This window comes from Homo sapiens, chromosome 9 (genome assembly GCF_000001405.40).
Source record: "Homo sapiens chromosome 9, GRCh38.p14 Primary Assembly".
Lineage (NCBI taxonomy): Eukaryota > Metazoa > Chordata > Mammalia > Primates > Hominidae > Homo > Homo sapiens.
This window is the reverse complement of record NC_000009.12, coordinates 22996644-23007234: the sequence shown is the minus strand read 5'-3', so window position 1 is coordinate 23007234 and position 10591 is coordinate 22996644. Positions and strand designations below refer to the sequence as shown.

At 38.7% G+C, this 10591-nt stretch overlaps 1 annotated feature.

The window, feature by feature from the left end:
• Positions 1445-2504: an enhancer, noted in NCBI's record as "VISTA enhancer hs643". NCBI's record gives its function as "enhancer in: hindbrain (rhombencephalon)[9/12] | forebrain[10/12]" and the evidence as "EXISTENCE:transgenic organism evidence [ECO:0001131][PMID:17130149]".

Below are 10591 nucleotides of genomic sequence, written 5' to 3'. Positions count from 1 at the left end.
AGCAATGAATGGCATAATTTTTTTTTTTGAGATGGAGTCTTACTCTGTTGCCCAGGCTGGAGTGCAATGGCGTGATCTCGGCTCGCTGCAACTTGCGCCTCCCGGGTTCAAGTGATTCTCCTGCCTCAGCCTCCTGAGTAGCTGGGACTACAGGCCTATGCCACCATGCCCATCTAATTTTTGTATTTTTAGTAGAGACGAGGTTTCACCATGTTGGCCAGGATGTTCTCAATTTCTTGACCTCGTGGTCCACCAGCCTCAGCGTCCCAAAGTGCTGGGATTACAGGCGTGAGCCACCACGCCCGGCAGAATGGCATATATTGTAACTCTAAGTGTGACACGCTAATGTCTAGAGTAGATACATACATGCAATATAAACTGTGTGCCCCAGACAAAGAAAATACCGCGAATTACACCCACTATTTAGTTACATGCTCTTGGTGATACCACAACCGAAAAACTATGTATTTTAAAAGCTACATTCAATGAAGCACTCTTCTTTCCATCAGTTTTGTCTCAGCCAATCATCACATCCTAGCCGATATTAGAATCCCTTTTCTTTCACTAGTCAAAATGTTTTATAGATTTTTGTCATTTTATGAATTTCCTGCTTTGGGAGTAATTTTACTGTCATTTCATGAGAACTTTGAAATGTCATGAAACTTTTGGGAAGTATAGTACTAATAATTAAAATTTAACCAGAAGTATCTCTGACAGTATCATTTGAATGTGCAATTTCTTCATATAACATATGTGAAGGCAAGGGAAAAAAATTCTGTAAAATGAATAGAGTTTTGACAGCGAATACACATACTATACAGTGCATACTTATATATGTCACAGTGGCAGCTTCTATAACAGAAATACATTAGAAAATGAAATGCACAGGGACATGAAGCCATTAGGAGTGCAGACTGTCATTTTTCATGTTAACAGAATATTTTGTCAGTCTCATCCAGCAAAAAATCTGATGTATAAGACAACATTGCTAACTGATCTGTCACCCTCTGTCCTTCTTTTTTATTTTGCATATACAGCTCACAATTCTCTGATGGGCTTGCCTACTCATTTAGCCCTTCATGAAGTCCCTGAGCTGCCTTTTTCATCTGGAGTCTCCATGCACAACGGTGAAAAGTGCATCTTTTATCTCACCTGGTAGGTAAGCTTTCCCCAAATCCCAAGCAACTGTTAAAGGAATTGAGGAATGCTCTGTGAGAAGAAAATCATGAGAGCAGAAGGATGTTCTGCTCTCAAGGGAGGCCAATGAAAGAGAAATCAATCACGTGAATTAAGAGCTTTTGATGAATAAATAATTAGCATACACACTAAATTAATTAGCCAATTTCCAAGTCAGGCTTAGTATTGCATGCTAGAGCTAGCAAGCATTGCATCAGTTGAAATGTAACTGTTTGGCTTTGCTTCATAAGATTTTCAAATGCAAAATGACTGTGCCTGGTTAAAGGCTACCATTTAAGAGAATAAATGGCCAAAACCAGGTGGTTAAGCCCTCACTTCCCAATGCACAACCAAAGACTAAGGCAAGTATTTCTTTATAAACAGCTTCTGACCACTGTATTTAATAGTGTTGACATTTACATAAATGGAATGCAGTGTAGTTGCTGAACATATACTGGGATGATTCCATAATCCTGTTTTAATTAGATGGATGTTGCGAGCATACAAAAATCACAAGCTGCACTCCCTGTGGTGATGCCATACTGGCAAGGAATCAATCACCACGGCTCTGGTTGCCATAGAAACTGATAGCTCCTGCACCACCATCTAAATGGCAAATGATTGGTGGTGTACTCATAACACAGGGAGAGCAATGAGTTTTTCTATCCTGTCCAGCAGCTGTGCCAGAGAGTTAATTAAAAGCAGAGAACATGAAATAAATCTAAATCTGTGAAGAAATGAAATGTACAGTACAAATTGAATTCCCGTGTCGGACAGAAATTAATATGCAGCGCAAACCACAGAGCTGCCTGAACAAGCAGCAGCTGGGAATCTTGGGAAATGTTGCTTCTCAGGCGGTCAGAGCTGAAATGTGGAGAGGGCACCTCCTTATCTTATTACCTAAACAAGCACTTTGTTCAGCATTTGTGTTGACTGATGCATGCAAATTGCAGCCTCAGATGTTAAGAGTTCCTGTTTTCAAGCAGGAAGGACAAAGCTTAACTAAGATTTAATTAACAAACTGTTAGCAACTGCAGTTTATCAGCTGTGAACACAATGTAAGTAAATGTTTCTACTCCTGTACTAGAATACACCAGTCAACCTCCGTGAAAGTCAATGTGTTTTTATTGATAAGCCACGAATTCAGAATTCATATTTCAAATACCACAAGTCGAGGAACAAGTACCTGAAATGCTTTCTCCAGAAATAAAAGAAGCTCAACATAGAAATAAATATTTTTTTTAATTTCCATAGAATAAGCTACAACAGATCAGGCATGAAATATTTAACTAGAGAGAACCAAGTGTTTTTGGTTCATTCTATCCCCATTCTGTGATTTTGGCTTTATCATCTAGGGAATTCAGCATTCAAGCAAATTGTTGTCTGTGTGAAGCCTACCACTTTCATAGGGCAAGTAGAACAACTCAGGGGCCACAACAATGTTTCTGCGGCTTCCAAATATGCATGAGGTGTAGGAATCAGAGGAGAGGATAACACCTTAGATCATACAATTCACCCCCTCCCACTCCATCACTCCACCCCTAATTTCCATCCCTAGTAAGGAAACACTGGGTCCAAAGAGAATGAGCATGACTGACTATAGAAGAATGAAAAATTTTGGTGGGAGTTCAGAATTTATATCATAATGACATATTTTTATGCGCTTAATATTCATCTAATGAACTATTAGAACTTTTCTCCTATTAAAATGCATTTTCATCTGGCTAGCCCTCTATTTTTTATGGCAATTGAATCGCTCTTCTAAGGAGAATTTATGCAATTCCTCCAATCATCCATTTTAAGTAGTTTTCAGTGTGATAAAACAACAAGAAGGCAAATGCCAGGCTTACATATACTTGTTTATGACGATATCTCTGTATGAATCAGATTTTTATGGGTAGTTGTGAACCGCTTGATTTGAAATATCACATAGATGTCCATGACATAAGGAGTAAAATCCTGAGGTATCTTTTACAAAGACAGTTTTTTACACTTTGCAGACCATGAGTAGACTTCTAGTGACTGATAGAATTAATACTATTGTAACAGAAAAAGGCTTCAATTTGAAATAAGATAAGAGGGATGAATAAAAATGTTATTTTAGTCAAGGGAGGAGAATTTTCAATATTATTCTGAGTGTACTATTTTAGACTTTAAATACACTCAAGTTAATTATACTACACTTATTATCTCTAAGTAGAAATATTGATAATCATTAGTGGGAAAACTATTTGATGTCTTTATGGGAGTATCTGAATGCATAAAAAGAATAATTGTTTTAAAGTATATAAAATGTTCAGAAATTCTGAAATACCTCATGAATGTACAAAATAACAAATTTGTTTAGTTAATGTATGAGAGTAAACATTATCATGTTATACATATCTTTAAGTGGGCATTTCAAAATGGAAAAGTGCAGGATTTCACTGATTTTTTAATGTCTTTTGAAAACGTCCCTTTAAATTCACAGACATAAGAGATTTTGAGGTCCATGTTTATTTTCAAATATTCTATCTAATTTGAATGTATTATCTCTGGTATTAGGGTTATATAGTGCGATGTTACAGATCATGAAATTTTAATTTCTAAGATTAATAACACTGTAAATAAAATCTTGAATACACATCCTTTCTTTCCCATTCTCAGTGCAGTATGTCCCTATACACTCTGATTTGAATTCTTATTATTGGCCCTTAACTGATCTTCTTGGAGTGCCTTTTTTATCTGTTGGTAGAGGAAAGGGATTGATCTGTATAGTTTCATAAAGCTCTCTTGGTGTTTCAATAATTCTGTTGCTTTTTCTTTTACCTACTCTATACAATTGAGAAACAGGACTCGAAAAGAGTAGTTCTTAAACCTACTTATTTATCAAAGTCAACTAGAATATCTGAGAGAGAGAGAAAGAAGTGATTCCTAGGGCATGGTAAATATTGATTTAGGGTTTCTGCTTAGCAACTGAGCATTCAAAGTTGTAATAACTTTCACAAGTAAGTCAAAAGTGCAAACTCACTTTACAAAAAAAGGCAGAAATTTAGCTCCATTCACTTCTGACGTCTATTGATCTTTTGACTATTTTTATTGATGACTGTTTCATCTGCTAAGAATTATGGTGAGGCTCCATAATTTATAAAAGCAATGCTGATCCTGACATCTTTCTATTCGGGGATTTTATCCATTTTATCCAAAGCAAAAGGCCCTTTCCTCAGAAAATACACATAAACATTTATACACAAAATTTGTGAAGAACTTCCAGGGCTTTACTGACTTCCCGTACCACCACCTTTCATGAAATAATCCCCTTTTTTACACAACAGGGTATACATTTGGACTTCTAAATATTTCTTCTGATTTGTACTTTTGCAAGATGTATTTGGTTAAATGTTAGCTGCTATTATTAATATCACTGTCGTTTTTATTGATTGTACAGTTCCTTATATGAAGAACTATGTTCTATTTTTAGACATTAGGGCCAGAAAAAAACAGTTTGTTTCTCCTGAAAAATAAGGCTTATGCATTTTTAAAAGAAAAAAAGCTTAAATGCAATTATTTCATTCCCAATTTCAAGTGAAGTCCCAATACAATATATATCCCCTATTAAATTGAAGTTCAAAATCACAAGGGATGACTTACAAAATAAATTTTTGAAAAGCCTGTTTCACAACTCTTAACTCCCTCATCACATTGAGGATGTGAACAGGTTGGGAAGTTAGATGTTAAAGGATAATTCTTTTGAGAGAGTTGGTTGTAAGAAACCCTATTCCATTAGTGAGCTTTTCCCTTCATCTCGATTCAAAAAAGGAAAACTTGAAGGAGACCTCTGGGAGAAATAAACGTTTCTCTGGAAATGTGGAAGCAAAAGTCTATTGGAGTTTTACCTAGCCAAGGAAATCTCAAGGACAAGAGACTGAAAGGCTAATTCTTCTGTCATGAAACAGCAGAGAGATGGCCATGTTAATCTAGACGTTGTCAGAGCAAAATATATATGAAAGTTTACTATGGACCAGATGTAGACCACTTAGAGAGCTAGTATGGAGCTGTATTAGAGATTGACCAAGAACACCTAGAGGGGCAAAGTAACACAACTTTTTCTTGAATGGAAATATACATATACTGTCCATCACATATCTGTCCTTTACCCAGTAATGCAAAGGTTCTGAGAACTCACAAATTGTCCCACAAGAAAATCTGTCATTTTGAAACACCCATGAGAAAGAAGCACAGAACTTAATATAAAATTACAGTTTTAGTCATGTAAGAAACTCTTTGTTGTTTTTCCTTTTCTCTGGTACACCTATTTCAACTGACTTTGGAGCCAGACTCACTCCTACTGTTTGGGGGACCCAAGCAACATCCTATGTCTAAAGATTTAGCTATGAATTAAACACACACACACACACACACACACACACAACGCACACACTCTCTCTCTCTTTAAAAAAAACAATGTTCTATTCTCTTACATGACAAATATGCCTTCCTAAATATCTGCAAGGCTAGAGTTGAATTTAAAATTTTTAGATCCTTTTTAGTCCAATGCTGGAAATTAACAGCATATAGAGAGCTCACTGTTGGCCTCCTGACCCTTGGAAGAGCTTGTAGTCTGTCTGCCTTCTTTTCTTACTCCAGTTTCCTTCGGCACCACGTGATGTCCAAGTTTCATACATAGTGCCAGGAACAGCTGGCCCTTGGCCACCCATCAAGCCAAAGGTATTCACACCAACGGAGCAGCCCTATCCTTGGGAGGGCAAACCCCAGAGAGGAGCACTGTATAGAACATGGAATCAGGGCTGGCGTCACTTTGGCAAAGAATGCCAGGGTCCTAGGTATTCCAATTATAGTGGGGTTAGAAGACAGTTCTGAAAAGGTGTATTTTTCCTTGATCTGCATGATTTCTCTGTCCCATATGACAGAGCAGGACAAGAAGACAGCCAACAGAAGCCTCTCCAAAGCATGGGGTCAAGGGTAAGAGCTCTCATACCTGAGTCTAAGGGTAACACAGTCTGGAAGAATCAGTGACCATTACTAGCATGATTGAGAAGAGAAAAAAACAGCATTCAGGTGAAGAAAGAGAGCAGAAGGCAACTGTGACCTCTTTCTCACTGCAAGGGGTTAGCCTATGGTTTGTGCAGACTGGTGAGGGGCATAGGTATAAGTTTAAGAAAGTTTAACATATTAACTCCTTTAGGCATTTAAATTATGAGATTAGACACTTAAATTACTGACTGGAGGACCTTTTATCACCTAGTAGTGTTTCAAAATTAATGAGACATGTCCTAATTTCCATTCAGGGGAAGGGAAATGATTTTCCTCACAGAAAAAAAAAACAAAACGAAACAACATATTGCTTATAAGTAAACCTGCAAGTTCTGTTTATTTAATACATTTACTACAACTTTATTTCTATAAACAATAACAAGTTTTTAGCTAATAATAGCTTTCTTTGTTTTGCTTTGTGGGACTCTCAGAGCCAATTATATGTATTAGTTTATTTACTATATTGGATCTTACAGACTGCATTCCTGCATATTACCCTTTTCTCTGGTCTTATCTCATATTTTCTTCTATGTTGTCCTAATTCTAAAGTTGTTAGTGTTTCTATTTTTTTGTAGTTCATCTGTTTTATAAAAACATATGGACTATGTATGAAGTATAATATATATACACATATAATTGTGTGGTATATTCTGAATTGGCTACAAAATACTGATCGAAAAGGAGAGAAAAGTAAGATCAGAATACACTGGTACTAGGATAATTTGAAAGCCCCCAGTATAAAGAATAATGGGAAATTCAGGCTTGATTATTCAGATGATACCATGTAAACATCCCTCCCCACTTCATTAGTAAGTTGGATGTGATAGGTAAAGTATAAATTATAGTCAGCATATTTATTTATTTAGCATATATTTGTTGAGCACCTATTCTGTGTCAGTCCCCGTGTGTTTAGACAAAATAGACTTGGTTTTTCCACTAATGGATGGGAAGGAGAGTGGCAGTGCAGCTTCCCAAGCTTATGGCTCCATGCTTAGGACTCTGCACTTGGTTTAATGCTCTCCTATTGACATCTTGAAATTCTTAACCATTTTTGAACAAAGGTGTCCACATTTTCATTTTGTGCTGTTCCCCACAACTTATGTAGCTAGTTCTGAATAGTGGATTGTATAATCTAAATCTTTGTCTATTCACAGATTTACCAAACACTGTCGCGCCTCTTCTGGATCTGGCATTCAAATTTTTTTTTTTTTTTTTTTTTTTTTTTGTTTTTTTTTTTTTTGAGACGGAGTCTCGCTGTCGCCCAGGCTGGAGTGCAGTGGCGCAATCTCGGCTCACTGCAGGCTCCGCCCCCTGGGGTTCACGCCATTCTCCTGCCTCAGCCTCCCGAGTAGCTGGGACTACAGGCGCCCGCTACCACGCCCGGCTAATTTTTTGTATTTTTAGTAGAGACGGGGTTTCACCGTGTTAGCCAGGATGGTCTCGATCTCCTGACCTCGTGATCCGCCCGCCTCGGCCTCCCAAAGTGCTGGGATTACAGGCGTGAGCCACCGCGCCCGGCCGGCATTCAAATTTTTTATGCCTGTGAATGGATTTAGATTTCTTTGTCAGGACACAGTGCTGGCACATTATGTTATCCCTATCAGAAACAAAAAAGAACAGTTTGAAAATGTATACAAATCCTCTCCTGTGTCAGCAAGACATCAGAGTGACTTATTTAAATGATTAGTTTGTAATGTGCTTCTGTTTTAGGAAAACAAGGTCTGTGGGTAAAGGAATTGTACAAATTGAATAAATTGGGAAGTCTCTTCCTAGTAATCTGCAGAGATGGTACTATGTATTGTTTTTGTTATCGTTTCTTGATTTCTGTGGGGTAGTGCTCTCTCGCTATATCCTTAAGCACAGAAACTTGAAACCTTAGGGGATATGAAAATCTCCTTTACATTTCTCTGCCTTTCAGTTCTAAATAATTTGTCCTAGGCACACATAGATGTTAGTCTTGTTACTTCTCTACGTATTCATTCCTTCCTTGCTGTACCTGACATTTATCTTTGCATCCTCAATACTGACTGCAGGCAGGACCTGTAACCTGGAAATTATTTATCCAGTGATTGAAATAACCTTCCATGTTCAGGCACTCAGAAAAGTGCTTTACATATGCTATTTTGTGGAATTAGGAATTATTTATTTCAGCCCATTCATAAGCTTTTATAAAATTCAGAAAGCTGTATTTCATCCATGTAATACTATTTAATATCTGCAATGGGTGTGTTCTTAGAGATGCAGTTCTAGTATATCAAGACCCTTTAGGTACTTCAGGAACTGCCCTCTCTAGTATGGGGTTTGAGACATTTACCTTAGACAGCTGCAGCAATTACTAATTATGGGTCTTTTAAACATTATAGTGTCTGTTTACCAAGTATGAGTGAGATATCTGAGATATAATATTGTTGTCACTGACTATGCCATTATTCTCACAATTTTAGTCCTGAATGGACTATATTTAGCCCATTCATTTAGTCCAACTAAAATAGTCCCAGAAGCTAGATGATATGGTTTGGCTGTGTCCCCGCCCAAATCTCATCTTGAATTTTAGCTCCCACAATCCTCACATGTCATGGGAGGGACCCAGTAGGAGATACATGAATCATGGGGATGGGTCTTTCCTGTGCTTTTCTCATGATAGTGAATAAATCTCATGACATCTGATGGTTTTATAAAGGGCAGTTCCCCTGCAGACAATCTCTTGCCTGCCACCACATAAGACATGCCTTTGCTCCTCCACCGTCACCCATGATTGTGAGACCTCCCCAGCCATGTGGAACTGTGGGTCCATTAAACCTCTTTTCCTTTATAGATTACCAAGTCGCAGGTACGTGTTTATTAGCAGCGTGAGAACAAACTAATATAGTAAATTGGTACCAGGAGTGGGGTGCTACTGTAAGGATACCTGAAAATGTGGAAGCAACTTTGGAACTGAGTAAGAGGCAGAGGTTGGAACTGTTTGGAGAGTGCTGAGGAAGACAGGAATATGTGGAAAAGTTTGTAACTTCCTAGAGACTTGTTGAATGGTTTTGACCAAAATGCTGATAGTGATAGTTACCAAAATGCTGACAATAAAGTCCAGGCTGAGGTGGTCTCAGATGGTGATGAGAAACTTATAGGGAACTGGATCAAAGGTGATTCTTGCTATACTTTAGCAAAGAGACTGGCAGCATTTTGCCCTGGCACAAGAGATCTATGGAACTTTGAACTTGAGAGAGATTATTTAGGATATCTGGTGGAAGAAATTTCTCAGCAGCAAAGCATTCAAGAGGTGACCTACATGCTCTTAAAAGCATTCAGTTTTATTCATTCACAAAGATATGGTTTGGAATTGAAACTTATGTTTAAAAGGGGAGCAGAGCATAAAAGTTCAGAAAATGTGCAACCTGAACGATGCAATAAAAAAGAAAAACCATTTTCTGAGGAGAAATTCAAGCGGGCTGCGGAAATTTGCATAAGTAACAAGGAGTCAAATGTTAATCACCAAGAAAATGAGGAAAATGTCTCCATGGCAGCCCCTTCCGTTACAAGCCAGGAGGCCTAGAAGGAAAAAGTAGTTTCATGGACTGGGTCCAGGGCCCTGCTGTTGTGTGCAGCCTAGGGACTTGGTGCCCTGTGTCCCAGCCACTCCAGCTTTGGGTACAGCTCAGGACGTTGCTTCAGACGATACAAGCCCCAAACCTTGGCAGCTTCCATATGATGCTGAGCCTGCGGGTGCACAGAAGTCAAGAATGGAAGTGTGGGAAGCTCCACCTAGATTTCAGAGGATGTATGGAAACACCTGGATTCTCAGGAGGAAGTTTGCTGCAGGGGTGGAGCCCTCATGGAGAACCTCTACTAGGGCAGTTAGGAAGGGAAATGTGAAGTCAGAGCCCCCACACAAAATCCATACTGGGCACTGCCTAGTGGAGCTGCGAGAAAAGGGCCACCATCCTCCAGACCCCAGAATGGTAGATCCACCGTAGCTTGCACCATGTGCCTGGAAAAGCTGCAGACACCCAACAGCATCCCATGAAAGTAGCCAGGAGGGAGGCAGTAACCAGCAAAGCCACAGGGCCAGAGCTGCTCAAGACCATGGGAACCCAACTCCTGCATCAGTGTGACCAAGATGCAAGGCATGGAGTCAAAGGAGATCATTTTGGAGTTTTAAGATTTGACTGCCTTGCTGTATTTTCGACTTGCATGGAGCTTTTTGCCCCTTTGTTTTGGCCAATTTCTACCATTTGGAATGGCTGTATATACCCAATGCCTGTACCGCCATTGTGTCTAGGAAGTAACTAACTTGCTTTTGATTTTACATGCTCATAGGCGGAAGGGACTAGCCTTGTCTCAGATAAGATGTTGGACTGTGGACTTTTGAGTTAATGCTAAAATGAAT